Below are 18147 nucleotides of genomic sequence, written 5' to 3'. Positions count from 1 at the left end.
TTTACCATTGCAATTCCGGAAAATAGCATAGCATCAGGCACCTGTAAGGCTGAATAAACTTTGATTATCCTGGTTATTTCTGCCATCATCTTCATTCTCAATTTTCAATTCACTGTAATTGTCTGTTACCTGCAGCTTCCTATGGTGGAAGAGAGGCATACTCAGTATGCTATTTCAGTGGAAGACTGAGAACAGAGATTTTACAGATGTCAGAACTGGACTCAACTTGTGTCCAAATTCCATATGTATGCAGAAGGTCCTAAACTGTGACCACTATAGAATAGTGTCTTAGTCTGGGCTGCTCTAACAAAAGTACCATAGACTGAGTGGCTTATTTCTCACAGTTCCAGAGCAATCAAGGTGCTGACAGATCCAATGTCTGGTGAGGGCCTGCTTCTTGGTTTGCAGCTGGCCATCTTCTCATTTATCCTAACACAGAGGAGACTAGAGGGAGAAAAACAAGTGCTCTCATGTCTTTTTTATAAGAGCACTAATCCCATTTATGAGGGTTCCATCCTCATGACTTAATTACCTCCCAAGGGCCCCACCTCCTAATACCATCAACATCGAGGGTTAAGATTTCAGCATATGAATTTGGGGTAGATGCACAAACATTCAGTCCATAGCTGATAGACATAGCTAGGTGCGTTTACCCCAAGTCTTCTTGCAGGAGGTACCAAGGAGACACGTGGGAGAACTCATTCTAATGGATGATAAAATTGGCAGATATATGTCACCTCAATGGCAGAGAAGCAGACAGTGTCTGAGTGTACCTGTCTCAAGCTGCATGGACTCCCGTCTGAATACTAAGAAAGGGGAGCTGGAAGTTAAAACAAATCAGGGTGCTTCACTGAAAGATCTAGAAAACGTGTGGCATAGGGCATCACCATCTTGGCACCTGAGGACAAAGAACAGTATGGAAGGTAAAAAGGCTCCTACCTTCTACCTTCATGGTGTGGCTTTGGGATCTTAAGAACTGCAGTCTGCGCCATGGCAGTGCAGGTGTCTGGCAGCACCTAGGAGGTGGTGCCAGCCAATGACAATACTCAGCAGAAGTGGCAGCGGTGCCCAGCATCAGTACTAGTGCCAAGTGGTCACATCCAGAAGGTAGACATTGGCTGAGGAGTCCAGAGGATACCATTCTCATCTGACTGTCTTGTTAGTGGGATTCACTCTCTGAGATTCACTGAACTATGTAGAAAAGTATTTGGTAGGGCTTGAGGGCCTGCCAGTATCTGTAGAATATTACTGTAAGGCGATTCCACTTGTACCCACAGGCAGTCTGACCCGGGGAAACTTGGGTGACATGTAAACAGAGGCACCTAGCTTGCTCTTGACCCATGGTCGAATGTCAGGAGTTACTGCTTATTCTGTTATGGGCTGAGTTATGTCTCCTTAAATATACATGTTGAAGCCCTAACTCCCAGTGTCTCAGAATGCGACTGTGTTTGGAGCTAGAGCCTTTAAAGAGATGATTAAGTTAAAAATGAGGCCATTAGGGTGGGCCCTGATGTAATCTAACTGGTGTCCTTATAACAAGAGGAAATTTGGACATAAAAAGAGACACAAGGAATGTGCTCACATAAAGAAAAGTCCATGTGAAGAGGCAGCAACAGGGTGACCTTCCAAAAGCCAAGGAGAGGGACCTCGAAGGAGACCAACCCTGATGGCACCTGGATCTTGGACTTCCAAACTCCAGAACTGTGAAAAAATAAGTTGTTTATACCACTTAGTCTGTGGTATTTTGTTAGGGCAACTCTAGCAAATGAATACATACCCCATATAAGGCTCAGCGGGCATTAGGACCCTCTTTGAAGGACATGCAGGAGATCCCAGATCAAATAAAGTAGTCAGCTCCTACCAAGAAAAGCCAAGGGCACGAAGAGATTGAAAAGAACAGCCGCCGATGGAAGAGTGTAATCAGAGAGAAATGAATAGAAACTGCCCAAAGAAAATACGTGCTACCTAGCAACAAATACACCAAGTGTAGAGAATAGGCCAGACAAATAGCTCTAAAGAGGATGTGGTAGTGGTAGGGGAAGTAATCAAAACTAGGAAAGTGAGAAAGTATGAAAAAAATCAAACAGCGACTCAGCTAGAGAAATTATAGCGCGAAGTTAAGAAAGTGCAAAAACATGATAAGGAAAGCAAAGGTGAGGAATGAAAAGAAGATTGCGAGAGAGGTTAAGATAAATAATAAGGCATTTTTCAAGTGCAGAAGGAACAAGAGGTCAGTACAAAAGCCAATAGGGCCTCTAAAAGCTGGCAGAGGCAATTTATTGACAGAACATGAAGACATAGCTAAAAAATATTAAAGGGCTCTCCCCCACTCCCGCTCCTTGCCTCTCTTTTCACAAAGGAAGATGGGGACATATGCCGAAGCAGACATAAATTTCCCGAGAGTGGAAAAAAGACATATTGAAGGAAATCAGGATCTTGTCAGCACAGGTGATCAAGAAATTAGGACATCAGAAAAATTACGGAAAGTCTAGAGCCAGGCCAGAGCCTCCTGGAATGAGGGACCCAGAGTCCAGCGCGGCCCGAGGCCAAGGCTAGGGAGGGATGAGTACGGGTCCCGGTGCACAGGCGCAGAAGCTTGTGCAGGAAGCAGTCTTGGGCCGCATCTGTACGTTCATCTTGTAGACGAGTTTTCATCTCTGGTATGGGGAACAGATTCAGGGTTGAATCAGGCCTTTATACCCAAAGCAGCTGGCATTTGATCATCTTTGATGGGGCTCTTGTTTTTAAGAGTACCTGCATGACCTAAGTTTTGGGCAGAAGTTCACTCTCCTTCCCAGATCATAGACAGAAGACCTGGGTTCAAGTCACGACTCTGCTACAGACCTGCCTGTGATTTCAGGCTAACCGCTGAGGGTCACAGAGATATAGGTGCCTCTTCTCTAAAACGAAGGTGAGCATTCCCTTGCTCTAAAACGGACTGTGATGCTCAGATGAAATCATTACTCATTCACCAATACGACAAGTAATCTTGAGTGCTTTTAACGTGCCAGGCTTGTTGTAGGTCCAGGGAGGGAGGAGTAAAGACAGATCCCTCTGCCCTTGCATGGTTGACATTCTTTTGTAGGGGAAAGAGATAAATAAACAGAAAAATAAACAAGGTAATTTCAGAGATTGATGAGAGCTTGGGAACAAATGCATAGCTGTGCAAAGCCCTGCCCCTACTGGTGGTCAGGGTAAATGGCATTGAGTTGAGATCTGAACCAGGAGGAGGAAAGATCTGGGACAGAACATTCTAGAACAAGGGCAGTAGGCTTCAGTCCTAAAGTTAATGTGTAAAGGCATTGTTTAGAGCATACAGTGTGGCCAAAATGCTGGCCCTGAATGACGTTATCAAGAGCCTTTTCCGAGGCTCAGAATTTCATATTTCTCTTCTGTTCTCTTCAACCTGACTAGGCTGTAACGGTTGTCAAATCAAGGCAAACTTCAACAAGACAAGCCTGGCAACAAAGACGTATAAAGCATAGAACACATATAACACTGATTCCTGGAGGAGCTGGGAAGGACACCCTTTTTCTTTCCAAACATAGAGCCTCTCTTGTCACAGGGAGACTGAGGCTATGGTCACTGCTTGTGGCCTGCTAGGAAGTCCTAGACAAAGAATCGGTTTCAGGTATATTGCTTACCTTGGGCTCTACAGATTCTGTGTAGTGAATGGGGTAAAACACGAAGGTGCGTGGATGAGCTTCCCTGCTAAAAAGGACCAGCCCTCCTTGAAATGGATTCCTTTCCATTCCCACACTCTGCAATATTGTGATTGAGTCATGCAGCAATTAAAGAGAAAAATGTCACTATTGTGCTTCCAAATATATTATTTAATTTTCACAAAACAAATCAAACTCTTGGTCTTGAGTGCTGAGAGAAGAATATAAATGGAACCACAAATCTCTAACATTTCATGTTAACGCAGTAGTTCAGTAAGAGAGAAGTTGAATTTCCTTTCACAAATGTTTATTGAGCACCTACTAGCTTCAGGGCATACACAAAATAAATACTACCTGGTCCTTGTCGTACACGAACTCATGGTCTCTACTTTGAATCACACTCTTTCAAAATACAATATCTATTGGATCAAGAGAAAAGCTTTTATAGTGATTTTTACAAAGAAATAAAGCAGAAGCAATTATACTTAATTTAGGAATACTGGATATTCACAGATGAACACGTTTTCAAGCACACAAACCCCCAGATTTTTGTCTCTAGTAGAGCCTAAAAGGAGTTCTACAGGACAAGAAGATGGGATTTATGCTCAGACAGGCCCAGATTGAAAAGCCTAGCTGATCTCCTCACTAGTGGTGTGATATTTGGCAAGATACATAGCTTCTCAGTTTCCTCGTCTATAACATGGGACTCATGGTACTGACCTCATGGAGTTGCTGTAAGGATAAAATGAGATCATGCATTTAGGTTGAGAGTTTGGCTGTTGTAGGTGCTCCACAGTTGCCCCTTTCCCTTTTTAACTGGGATCATTGAAAAACAAGCAGTTAGATGGTTGAAAATGTGCAATTGTTTGTGTCTTCCTTTTTAAAAAGGAGCTAATACCAGCTCAGTGTTTTGGAACTGAAGCCTACAATGTGTTTCATGTCTTTCTGTCTTCAGAGAGAATAACTCGTCATTTGATAGCGTAATCCTCTGATTCTCTGGGTCATACCAGCCTGAGGCAGAGCAGCAATAGCAATAGCTCAGTGACAGAAGAGACACTGCCCCTGCTTGTATTGAGGGAAAGACTCATCCTAAAATCCTCCACGTGGTGCTGCAGTTTCTAAGTTTTGTCATGATGCAGTTCACCGAGTGCCTGCTGGGTGCTACTGAGGATAAAGTGACCAAAAAAAAAAAAAAAAAAACCCCATGCAGCCCTTGTTCTCAAAGCACTTGTACCTGGGTTGCTAAGCCACGTGACCACACAGGTGCATGTTGGTAATCATTTGACTGCAACTTCTTGCACCTGTGGCAGGTCTTAAGAAGAAGGTGTCCATGGTATTACAGGAATCTTAAATAGGGAATTCATCTTAGGCAGGGAGGTGAGAAGGCGATACTTGAGCTGAGTAGAAGGCCAGGAAGAATGAAAAGGAAGAGGAGAGGGAAAGCATTCTGGTCAAAAGAACCGAAGGAGGCAAGTGCCTGGGGCTGGAGTGCAAAGAATGGTGAGGTTGGCACCATGCACAGCCTGCTGGGCCTCACTGAGTTTTCTGGGCTTAACTGAGGAGCATTAAAAATCTCCTAAAGAGCTTTGTGTAGGGAATTGGTATGAGTAGGTTGGAACGATCACTAATGTTGGAAACTGAAAGAGAGTTGTGTAAACCTGTTAGAGGGAATTATGAGCATCTCCAGATGGTGGCTTGGACAGGGTGGTGGTAGAAGTTGAAGGAGGGAATTTTATAGATTTTAGGTTTATTTGGGGGATGAAAATGATAGGAGCTTGAAGATGGTTTGTATGGAATTGGGGAGGAGGAAGCCAGGTTGAAAGGTGAGAAAGCCTTGAGAGATTCCTAGAATTCCACCTTGAAAGATGGATGAGAGGGGACGGGAGGGAGGGGGGTCACTGAGCTGGGGAACACTGGAAGGCACTGGGTACGTGGAAAGATCACGAGTTCTGTTTTGGGTGTTTGATCTTGAGGCTGCCATTGAGAAATATGAAAGATGTTGAGGAGCAATTTCGATTCTTGGATCTGGAGCTCAGAGAAGCCTGGAATAGGTGTAACAGAAACCATTATTTTTTTTGGAGGAGGTCCTTAGAAACACCCTGAGATGAGGGGTCATGTACAAGTTACTTATTAAGGCTGTGTTCCCCTGGGAGACTGGTCAGGGAGTGGGGAGTGGAGCAGGCGAAGGGAAGAAGCTGAGCACAGGGTTATCTCAGGGTAAGGTATTATCAAGGGGTAAGTCCTGCAGAGGACAGGCTTTAGCCCGATCTCTCTGGGGCTCTGGTGAATAAGCCACAGCTTCCCCAACTATTGCAAAGGAACCTCACTGGGAGGGGCTGTGCAAACTCCTGGGCAATCCCTGAGGGCAACCTTCCTCCACCTCTTCCTCCTCCAACGGCCGCAGGTGCAGCTGAAAGCACACCACAGCTGGTGAGGGGTGAGGCAGAGAAAGCCTAAAAAGAGATCCCAGGGCAGCTGGGTGGAATGCTGACATCCTCACTACTGGGGTGGACAAGAATTGCCTAGGGAGATGGAGTAAGAAGAGAGATGGTCAAGACTGCTTTACTGAGGCCTTCCAAAACGTACTGACTGATTAGAATAGAAGCTTAGAAAGGAGGCTGAGGACTATCATTTCACAACCACCCTGCAAAGACAGCAGCAATATAAGTATTATTATCTCCATTACAAAGAGGAGAAAACCAAGGCTTGCGGAGGTTAGAAATTGAACACAGAGCTCCTGACCCTAAGCCTAGTGCTCCTTTAAACCCAACAAGGGAAGGTTTCCCAGCGTTGGAGGGCCCAAGTGCTGAAAAGAACTGGTCCTCCTTTGAAAGTGTTTATAGATGCCAGTGCTCATGGTTTAATATTCACCTTGCCAGATTTCAAAACCTGGGGAGAAAGGGAAGCTGGGGCGTGATTTATGGTGATTTTTACAAAGAAATAAAGCAGAAGCAATTATACTCCATTTAGCAATACTAGACACTCATAGACGAACACGTTTTCAAGCACACGAACCCTCAGATTCTCATCTGGCATAGAGCCTTAAATGGAGTTCTACAGGACAAGATGGGCTTTGTGCTCAGGCAGGCCTGGATTGAAAGCCTAGCTCATCTACCCACCGGTTGTGTGATACTGGGCAAGATATGTAGCTTCTAAGTTTCCTCATCTGTAACATGGGACTCATAGTACTTACCTCATGGAGTTGTGTGAAGATAAAATGAGATCACGCATTCAAGCTGAGAGCTTGGATATTATAGGTGCCCCTTTTCCCTTTTAACTGGGGACGTTAAAAATAAGCAATTAAATGATGGAAAATGTACAACTGCTTGTGTCTTCCTTTTTGAAAAGGAGCTAATACCAGCTCAGTGTTTTGGAACTGATGCCTAGCAATGTGTTACGTGTTTTTGTCTCTTCAGAGAGGTGGGGAGGGGAGGCTGGAGCCACTCCTCTGCATCCCCGGAGACAAAGGTGAATGCGATGAGGGTTTGAGGCAAACGTGTGGGAGTCTGAGCTGCCCAGAGCACAGAGCCCAGCCTGCTTGCTGTCTACCAATGCTTTGAATTTATTTTCTGCCTGTGGGGAAGCTGCTGTTGACTTTGTCCATTAAGCAGGCTTGCAGGATATCTGCTGACCCCAGGTTCCTTCTCCCCTGAGGAAGCACCACTGCCTCAGAGATCAGCAGAGGTGTGCTCGTTCCCAGGGCTTCCCCAGTCCAGAGGGAGGGTGTTGGGGGTGAAGTGAGCTCTGGGCTGGGACATAAGGACATGCCTCAGGGACACAGAGCACGACCCTCTGTTTGCCGACTCTCTGACTCTCTGGCTTGAGGAGCAGTGAGGAAAATCAGAACTAAGAATACCTGCCCCCTGAATAGTCTGGGATTAATTAGGAGACTGATAATGCACAGTGTGTGCCTAGGATGAAAATGAGTTATAGTCTCGTTACTAATATAGCTGGGTGGATGATTAGTATATAAAACAAGGTCACTTCTCAATAAGCCAGAGGTCACTGGGTGTCCCCATAGGGTGACTTAAGCCAACCTTGTATTTGTGAGGAATTCCCACTGATTTACCAGGGAGTAAGAGCCAGCAAATCAAAGATGTTTTGCCCAGTTTAGTAAATAAAATGCAAAGACCCTGCATGATGCTTGTGTTTATTTTTTTTCCCTTATAGAAAATATTTTCCATGGAATTGAACACCAACATTAAAAGTAAAAAGGGGTTGGGAAGAAGAAACCTAAAACCAATGTAAGTTGGAAGCAAACTAGTACTCATTTCCTGTAGAGGAATTTTATACGTTTTAATGGAGTTACTGTGGCTTTTTATTTCAGCATAAGGTGAAGAGTCAAAGTATGAGGATTTAAGGCTTCCAAGTGTGTGCAGTTATAGGAACAGACCCTTAAATTTGCCAGCAAGCTCCAGGCACTGCTCCTGCATAACTAATGTCTCCCTCACCAGGTCCAGGGCGGAGGGCCCTTTGACTCCCCTGGAAGTTATGCAGGGATAAGGGGAGTGTCAGGAATGCAGGATTAGGCCTCATAATTGAAGCTGTCGTTAGCTGAAGAGGCAGGCGGGCTTGTGAGCCTTTCCAAGTTTGCATTTATTATGAGATGAAGATATGGCTCCTTTGGTATAAAGGGGGTAGAGGGAATTTCTGCAAGTCGGCAATATCTACCCCCCACCACCAACTTTTTAAGTTGGTTTGTTCTACAACATTCATTATGCTCTTCTTAGTAGATCCCAGAAAAATCATCCTTTAGAGGATTTTCTTTATCTTTTGAGGAAGGCCAGCTGGAACCTTCTGAAATGATTCCCATTCAGCGTGCAGCCACAGACAGTACCAATGGTAAGGATGAAATATTATTTTTGTAAAGTGCATGTGGTTACAGCAGTGCCACTTACACACTCCTTATTGGATGATGACAACGGAGACCATGGGGCTGAGCATCCTCTGTGGCATAAACAAGCCAGGAAAGTGAAAGGTCTTAAGGCTGTGGAGAGAAGAGATTACTGTGATCATTCCTTATATCCATGCAAGTAGCATTCTGCGTGCACCTATTCTTTTTCTATTTAAGCTTTTTTACTGTGGTAAAATATAAATAACAAATTTAGCATTTTTGGGTGTACAATTCAATGGCATTAAGTACATTCACATCATTGGGCAATTATCACCACCATCCATCTCTAGACCTTTTCCATCTTTCCATACTGAAACTCTACTCATTCAACAACTCCTTCCAGGTGCTGGTCCCTGTATCCCTCCAGCCTTTGGTAACCTCTATTCTATGTTCTACGTTCTGTTTCTATGAATTTAACTACTCCAGGTACCTCATGTAAATGAAATCACACAATATTGTTCTCTTTGTGCCTGACTTATTTCATTTCATATTGTGTCTTCAAGGTTCATCCATGTTGTAGCATGTACCATTCTTTTTTAAGGCTGCATAGTATTCTCTCGTATGTATATACCATATTTTGTTTATCCATTCAGCCATCTATGAACACTTGGGTTGCTTTCACCTTTCGGTTATTGTGCATAATGCTGCTATGAACATGGGTCTATAAATATTTCCTCCAGACTCTGCCTTCAGTTGTTTTGGGCATATACCAAGAAGTAGAATTTCCAGATCACACGGTAATTCTATTTCTCATTTTTTGAGGAGGCTTCATACTGTTTTCCATAGCAGTTGCACCATTTTACATTTCCACTAACTGTGCAGAAGGGTTCCAGTGTCTCTACATCCTCACCAACACTTGATATTTTCAGCTGGCTTTTCTACTGTTGTTAGTAGCCATCCTAATGGATGTGAGGTGGTATCTCATTGTGGTTTCGATTTGCATTTCCCTAATGATTAGTGAATCTGAGCATCTTTTTATGTGCTTGTGTATAAATATTCATTCCAGCCCTCATTTCCAGTTCTTTTGGGTGTATACCAGAAGTGGAAGTATGCACCACTCAAACGTTGGAGCAGCCCCCATAAAGACTTGCTAGGCAATACTTTGAATGGGTTATGACAAACCCTGAGGGTATAAGAAAACTTCAACCAACCAGAATTATAAGAGGTAGAGAATATTCTGGCTAACAGAAGATTTATTAGATCTTTTCATTTTTGTTTCAATCATGCTTACTAAAATTCTTCCCAAAATATTTTATTATGTTTCTTAGATGAGTTCCACAACCTGTCCTAGGAGAATTTTCATTATCCTAGAGGAATAGTATAGGAGGACCACCTGGGAACTAGATGCTTAATGTGCTATCCTGGAGTTTTAGATGAGAAGCATCAAATACGTTTAGCCATGTTATAGGCCAAAAGGTAACTGTTGTATAGGATTGTGAACCAGAAGTCAGTTAAGTATTTGGGATGTGGTTTCAGAATAAATGGTCTGTAGCTCTTCTTTCTGGCAGTGACTGGAGAGCAGGGCCTGTTGTCTATTAAGGCCACTCCTAGTTCATGAAAATAAAACCATGTCAACTTCAGATAAAAGAATGTTTATCTTTCTGTTCTCCTAGGAGGGAATTGGAGGGGCCAGGCTGGGAAAGTGTCTTGTTGATCCAAATGTGGTAGCATATCATTGATGTTTCAATGGAAAAAGAAAAGTGTGTTCAACATTCATCTATTGTTTCTCCTCATGGCAAATGAGGATTAAGGCAGTTCTGCATTTATTCATAATGATATCCCTAGCACCAGTCTAGTGCCAGGCCATAGTATGTGATCAATAACTATTTATTCAATGATCAATGGTGCCTGCTCCTTTAAAAGACTGCCCTGCTAACCTCATTCTCGTGTAATGTCAAGATGGTAGTTCTCTATCCGCATTGGAATAGAGCCTTTGGCTGGCCAAGCTGGGTCCCAGGTGTTGGTAGTGTAGACAAGCCCACTTTTCACCCCTTATTTGCATCTGTTTGTGACTGTTACTTTAATTGCATGGGTAACATTTTCTTTGGGAAAGAGGCAGAAGGAAAAGGGAGCTATTGGGTAAAATGCAGGAACAGCTATTTTGAGTCTGGTCTGGCAGAGAGGGTTTGAAGCCACGCCTGGAGGAATGAGAGTTGGAGCACAGGAGAGCTGTTCTCCTGAGAAGGTGAGATTCTGGCATGGATCTGCTGCTTTGGGGCCCACGTGATCCCATAGCCACAGAAGCTTCTATCCTTCTCTTTCCTGCAAGGATCCACAATCTCCTCTGGGCACATAACAGATGGCAGCCTGGGTGGGAAATGGCACTCTGGGGATGCTCACTGTCCTGGGGCAGCAGGGCCTCCTTTAGGCAGCTCTATGGGAGCCATAGAGGAAGGACGGGAAGGAGATGCAGGAGAGGAAAGAAATGCAGGCACCTGGTGCCCACTGACGCTCTAACAACAAACTGCAGGATCGTGCAAGCTCCTTTATGGAGCGCATGCAGTGTTCAAAATCATAGCTTGTTGTGTGTGTGTGTGTGTGTGTGTGTGTGTGTGTATGTATAATCACCAGCTGGTGAGACCTGGGGTATATTTATTTGTGCTCCAAATTACTACCTTTGTACCTACAAGCAACCAAGCACAAAACAGATACCCACTTTGGTAGCTAATAGACAAGGAAGGGACAACAAACTCCACACCAAAAAGTCATCTATAATTCTAAACAGATTTATTCACAGCTTGGTACAAAGAATGGTCTTTGTGTCAAATAAAAATCCCAGGTTTGAATAATGATAACAATAATAATAACAGCAGACACTTTTCCACAGTGTTCCCTGTGTGAAAGGTACAATTCTGAGTAATTTATACGTTTTAAATAATTAATTTAATCCTCCCAACAGTCCTATGAGATAGGGTATCTTACTACAGCCACTCTACAGAAGAGGAAACTGAGGCACAGAGAAGTTAGGTAACTTGGTCAAAATCACACAACCAGTATGCGGCAGAGTTGGGATTCAAACCCAAGAAGATGGCTTTATACCATCATGAGATATGATAAAGATATCATCTTTATTGAGGTATAATTTACATACCATAAAACTCACCCTTTAAAGTGTATAATTCAGCAATTTTTAGTATGTTCAAAATTGTACAACCCTCACCATTATCTAATTTTAGAACACTTTTATCACCCCAAAAGAAGCTTGATATCCATTAGCATTACTCCCCATTCCTCCTTCCCCCTCCTTGTAACCGCTAATCTACCTTCTGTCTCTACAAGTTTGCCTATTCCGCGTTGCACATAAATGGAATCGTATAATACGTAGTCATTGTGTCTGGCTTGTTTTTCACTTAGCAAGATCCTTTCAAGGCTCAGCCATGGTCTGGTATGTATCAGAATGTCAGTCCTTTTTACGGTCAAATGATATCCCATTGTATAGATACAACATTTTGCTTGTCCATTCATTAGTTGATAGACATTTGGGTTGTCTCCACTTTGTGGCTCTGATAAGTAATGTTCCTATGAACCAACTAAATTGTATTTAAAAAAATAAAACCAGAATATATTTCACATATGATAACTAATAAGCTAATTTTCTGGGAGATTCAAGGATTGCCTTTCTAAAGCCAGGCAGGCACTCCTGTGCCTATCTGTATTTAAGGAGCTGATAAAAGTGGCAGAGATTATGCCAGATGATGCATATAAAAGTGCTTTCTAAAACTTTAAAGCATCAGTCCAAATATTGGTCATGAATAACATGAGCTTGTCCAACGACTTGAGAGTTCAAGTTAGAGGATAGTTAGATGGCTAATTGAGGTTTTATTGTTAAAAACACTATTTATTTTAAAAGGTTCTATGCTGTATTAACTGGGAGGCAGGCAAAGGGCCCACTTTGTGTCCATAGCCAGTCACAATGAGCTGTTCCACAAATGTCATTGTGGGTCCCAGGGATACTAGTTTCTCTGCTACTATATTCCTCTTTCCTATTTGGTATTCACTTTTGATATCTTATTGATCATTCCTCATATAAAGAAAAGGAAATTTTTAACTCTCTAATCCAGTTACGAATATGTTTAGCTGCATGTAACAGAAAACCCAAGGGTGACTTAAACAGAATTGTGTTTTCTTACACAACAAGACATCTGAAGGCTGCTTTGGCATCGGGACCAATGTCTCTGTGCTGATTTTAACCTTTCTCTCATGTTCACAAGAGGCTTGCCTCACCTTGAGCGGTCATGTCTGTGGTCAAGACAGAAAAGGGACTTGGGTAGGGGTGGTGTCAGGAGAGCTGAAACCCTCCAAGAAGCCCCCAGCTGACTTGTGCTTCTGTCTCATTGGCCAAGAGAACACCAGAGAGGCTGGGAAATACCATATTTAGATTTTCCAGCTGCTATAGCAGAGAGAGATAAAGAAAAAGGGGGTTGGAAATAGGTGCCAAGTTATTTTTAAAAATGTGTTAGCCACACCTGCCTCTCAAGAGAAGTTAGGAAACCTAGGCAGGTGAGAGGAAGAGGCAGCAGCTCTGAGCTCTGAAGGAAGAGGCTGGCATGGCCCCCTCGCTTTTCCAGGGGTTTTGCTCAGTGAAGTTCTTCATTTGCCATTTCTGCTCTCAGACTTGTGATTTCACTGAAACCACTCATCTCCCCACAGACACTGGTTTGGCTATATAATGGTTGAAGGCATGTCTGGATGTTTTAATGATGTGACCATACTGCATTGTGACATGATGTGGTCCAGAGATACTGTGGCCAGAACCAACCTGGCTGGCTGAGCCATGTCTAAATCACAGCAAGTTTGTCCAGGGTTGAGGGTCCAGCTTGGAGTGTCACAAGTGTTCTGCCACAGTCTTTCTGAATCTGTTCCTCCTCATTAGGATTAAGATGCTGGAGGACAGGACCCAGGACTCACAATTCTGTTCTATTTCCCTTTCCCTGCTACCCTCCCCCACGGTACTGGAACACTCCTGGGCACGTACGCGAGTCTCAATAAATGCTTGGTGGATAAACTCACATTCCTGGTGACTAGTCAAAGATGTGTCACTTATTATGAAGTGTGCCAAAAAAGTCACTCACTAACTTGTCCAGTAAGCACTTTAGCAATTTAATCTGTGAACCAATTACTTCAGTACAGTTTCCAGAAATAGAGTTGTTCATCCTTTGAAGCAGGTTAATTGTCAACTGATATTTTATCTTTGTTGATTCATCTGACGGACAATTAGGGCTTCTAAAGTGTCAGGCACGGTGCTAGGCACAGAGGAGCACAGAGAAAATCATAACACTTCCCACGAGGTCTCAGAGGGGAGTGGGCTAGACAGTCGTGTCAGCAATGCACCCAGGTCTCTGAAGGGCTGCATCAAAGCTCTGTGGGCCAGCGGGGAAAGAGTGATTCAAGGCAGGGAGGAGTTGTGGGGTTGTGAGGTTAGATTGGCTGCTGGAGTCTCCTTCCTTAGACATTCTAAGCTGACTGCTGGCCTGGTTCCACCAAGGGGATCCGGGTGCATGACTCTGTTTGCCTTCCCCACTAGATGGGCTCACTGATGAGAGCACACTGTTTTCTGGAGCTTGTCCACATATGCTCCAAGTTGGCTTTTTCAAGAAGCAGGATAAAGAAGAACATTAAGGAGAGTCAGAATGAGGTTCAGGAAGCCTAAAGCCCAGGTCTCCTCTCTGAGGGAAGCTGGTGGCTCTAGCCTTCTTCATTCCCCAAAGACTTTGGAGGGATGGGGTGAGGTGTTGCAGAATATCGGGGAAGGACTGTCTACAAGATGCTCACTGGTTAAGACACTCTGAGGGTGGAACACTACAACACAACTTTCTTCACAAAAAAATCAATTTAGGAAATAGCATCAATGTAGTTTTGGAAGCATCTTACATTCTCATTCAAATGTAATGGTTTTATGGAGTCCTATGTGGAGGGTGGAGGGCATGCATATTCTTGGAACTTAGATGACCCATTTATGTGAATACTGGAACAGCACTGAGAAAAATGCCACTGCTCTGTAGCCTCTAAAGGGTTAACATCAGGGCATATTTGAAACTTGGCAGCCAAAGGCAGCTGTGTGACCTTTTATTGTGAAATCAGATTGGAAGCTGTAGCACAAAGCAGGGGGTGGAGAGTGGAGCCAATGGCCCTGAAGACTGCAGGAGCGGGACCCTCACACCCTGTGGTTAGTGACTGAGTTTGAAAAGCAAGCCAGAATGAAGCCTGTATCTCCAAGGGGCATTTCCAAACCAGTAATTGAAGACTTTTTACAAATTAAATTTGTATTTCTTGCTGTCCTTTAATTTTTAGTATGTACTAACAATACAGATTTGCTAAATCTGGAAGTTGGTAAGCAAGCATGTAATCATTGGTAACTCCTTATCCAAGAATCTCACTGAATATTTCATATGCTGCCTCATTAATGCCTGTCCCTGCCCATTGATCTCTGGCAACTCTAGGGTATTGCTTACTCCTATTTTACAGATGCAGAAGATGAGGGAGAGAAAATTAAATGCCTTCATGGAGAATTAATCATGCAACAGAACCAAGAGCTCTAAGTGTTCTGGCTTCCAGTTCTTGGCCTTGACAGTGAAACTGAGCTTTTTTTTTTTCTCCTAGGAACAGCTAGAACTTTCACTTTATGGGGCTGACAAAGAAAATCACCATTTGCTGAAAAGGTAGTGAAATGCCTACTTCTTAGCTCTCTGGTCAAGGCAAGTTACTTGAAAGTGCTTAAAGGAGGTTGATGTAAGACAGATCCAACCGTTTTGTCTCAATTGCAGTGGTGGCTCAGCCACAACTAACCAAAAAAAGTGGGGGAGCAAAATCTAAACCTATGACTGAACTGAATTCCCTGTTTCTTTGATTGAATTTACTCTTCTTTAAAATGTTACTGAATTTACTGGCTAATTAATTACAAGAGTTGAACTGGTGGTGAAACTTCCGTGGACGACTTGTGTCCATGCCTTTCATGTGTTTGGCTTAAAAAATCTATACAATGCATAGAGCTGGGTGGGAGGTAAAGTGAGTCAAAGAGAATGCTTTCCAAGCCATATGCTTGCCCTCCAAGGTGACCCCTAGCTACCTCCAAGCTCTCAGACAGTGGAAGGCCATAAAGAGTGAAGAGGTGAATTCTGAGAGTGTTAGAAAAAGCTGGGAGATTGCCTGATTCCTGTTGAACTTCAGACCCAAAATGTATGGCATAAGCAAGAAACTAGAAATTGGCCTAGGAGGCAGTGGTAATCCTTTTTGGTCAATTAAGCCTAGAAATAAGCAGAGATTTAAAAAACAAAAATTAGACTCAGAATTAAGCTGTTAAGAGGCTACTGCCCTAAACCAAGGGGTTTGTTCTTTGTCTGTTGAATGCTGTTAGGTTGGTGCAAAAGTAATTGCACTTTTTGCCATTAAAAGTAATGCCAAAAACTGTTATTACTTTTGCATCAACCTAACATTTAATAAAAGATAATATTTTTGAACTAATATTTTGTACCAGACTTGAGGCTAAGCCTTCATACCCATTATTTCACTTAATCTTCACAACATCCCAGGAAAGAAGTACTCTGATTATAATTTATTTTTTATGGAAGAGGAAATGAGGCTCAGAGAGATTCAGTCACATCCCTAGGGTCTCAGAGATTGTAAGGGATGTAGGCAGAATTTGAACTCTGGTCTGCCTGACTCCAGGGACCGCATTTTTAACTATTTCTTCCCTGTTTCAATATTTATTAAATATCCACCACGAACAAGTTGCTTCTAATGTGTTGTACAACTATATGAGCCTCTCAAAATTGCCTTAAATGTGACCGTCTGGTTTTTTGTCTTGGACTACATCATGAAAAGTCAAACATTACAGTCGATGAGGTGTAAGAGACAAGGACCCTGAATTAAGACATTTTTGCTGAGAATGAAGTGGAGGAATCCTGAAGATCCTAAGGAAAAGAGGGTCTCAATATGACAAATCATATGAGTACCTTAGGCTTGAAGATTAGGAGTTGGGAATGAGAAAGAAAATGGCCTCCGGCAAAGACAATAAAACTTGATTGCAGTTTGACATGGTGGCAACTTTCCTTAAAAGAAGGAGAAGCTGGGAGAGAGATGGTGGTGAATAGAGGGAAGAGAGTATGTTTGGGTTGTGTGTGTGTGTGTGTGTGTGTGTGTGTGTGTGTGTGTGTGGTGTAGAGAGAGAGAGAAAGACATTCCTTGAGTCCGCCTCAGTTAAAAGTGATGGAATAGAGGAGGTCACCTAGAAACAAAGTGCAGAGGTAGCACAGAGCCCCAGGGAAGAAGGCGTGGCCGTGGAGGAGGTGAGATTAATCAGCTTCGCCTAAGGCAGCCACCATTAAATAAAGGATGCAGGGGGAGGAGGGGAGGCATTCTGGAAAGGCAAGGGTCAACAGTGGTTTCAGTGACAGCTATTCAGGGGCAAGGGAACAAAGGTGGGAAGACAGTGGGAGGAGCCCAGTTTGCAAGAACGAGGAAACAAACACCAACCAGGAAATCAGTGGAGGGACACAGGCAGGAGAAGGGCTGTATTCCTCCCTAGCGGGTGTTTAGGGGCTGGAAGTTGCAGGTGGGAGGGTGGCAGTTAAGGCCTATATGACCACAGGAGGGAGAGGAAAGCTTGGGGCAATCATAAAGAGGGTACTTAGATGCCTCTCTAAAAACTGAAGTTCACTGTGGCTATAAACTGTGAACAAATGTGCCCAAGGCATGTTACAGCTTTGGTCCATCTGGCCAGCTCAGTGCTTACCACACAGAGACCTGATCTGGTCATTAGAGTGGCTGCAAACACCAGCCCAAGTCTACCACAACCTGTTTCTGGGAGTTTGCTTTCTGATGGAGGAGGTATCTGATAGACACGTGCGAATGAGGGTAAAAAAATTAAATGCTACAAGAAATGGCTCGCTTCATAAAGAAGTCTTTTTCTTCCCCCCAAGTTGAAGGCCCAGTGAGCTTCACTTTGCAACCGAGTGGAATAAAGCGGGAGGATGTGGGTTTTGGGTTGGAAAGGCTGGGGATTGTGATCTGGTCCTGCCACTTTTGAATTGAGCCTGGGCTGTGATGTCCTCACAGTTCTCATCAATGGACCCTTTGCAGAGTCAGCGTCCAGACAGTGGCTGGCAGTGGAGGGGGCCGTGCCTTTGCTGTGGGAGTGGCAGGGAGGTGTGAGGGCAGAACAATCTGGTAGGACTCAGCAAATTTCCCAGAGCCCGATTTTATAATGATGTTGAGTAATAAAAAAAAAAATTTTATAGACACCCGTCTTTTCCATATAGCCAGGGAGGACAAGTCACATCTTGTTTCAAAATAGCAGATGCCAAATTTTAGGAGTCTGAGAGCTGGGGATTATGTGATAATATGAGGGTCGATCTGTTTTCTAAAAAATAAGTTTATCATGGCATATTTATTTATTATTACAGTTATTCATCTCTCTTTATCTAATCTATCCTATCCTCTCTGTCTATCTAGCCATCCATCCATTAATCCTGGCTAGAGACACTTGGCAAACTGAGAGACCCTTATCCCTACCTTCTAAATATGCAAGTGTGAGCTTATGAAGTATACAAAAAGTCGATTTTATATCTGCTTTTAGTGCCACATTCAGACTGT

General features: G+C 43.4%; 1 long non-coding RNA gene across 1 annotated transcript in view, besides 1 other annotated feature; it reads left to right on the top strand.

The window, feature by feature from the left end:
- The window catches only part of LINC03041 (long intergenic non-protein coding RNA 3041), a 72379-nt gene that overhangs the window by 15368 nt on the left and 38864 nt on the right, over positions 1-18147 (top strand). The window lies entirely within an intron of this gene.
- Positions 16605-17106: an enhancer, noted in NCBI's record as "NANOG hESC enhancer chr9:16243838-16244339 (GRCh37/hg19 assembly coordinates)". NCBI's record gives its function as "activates a minimal SCP1, AML or CMV promoter by ChIP-STARR-seq in naive H9 embryonic stem cells {active_cell/tissue: H9 hESC(naive)}" and the evidence as "EXISTENCE:reporter gene assay evidence [ECO:0000049][PMID:30033119]".

This window comes from Homo sapiens, chromosome 9 (genome assembly GCF_000001405.40).
Source record: "Homo sapiens chromosome 9, GRCh38.p14 Primary Assembly".
Lineage (NCBI taxonomy): Eukaryota > Metazoa > Chordata > Mammalia > Primates > Hominidae > Homo > Homo sapiens.
Note: the sequence above shows the minus strand (reverse complement) of the source record. Positions and strands in the feature narration are given on the sequence as shown.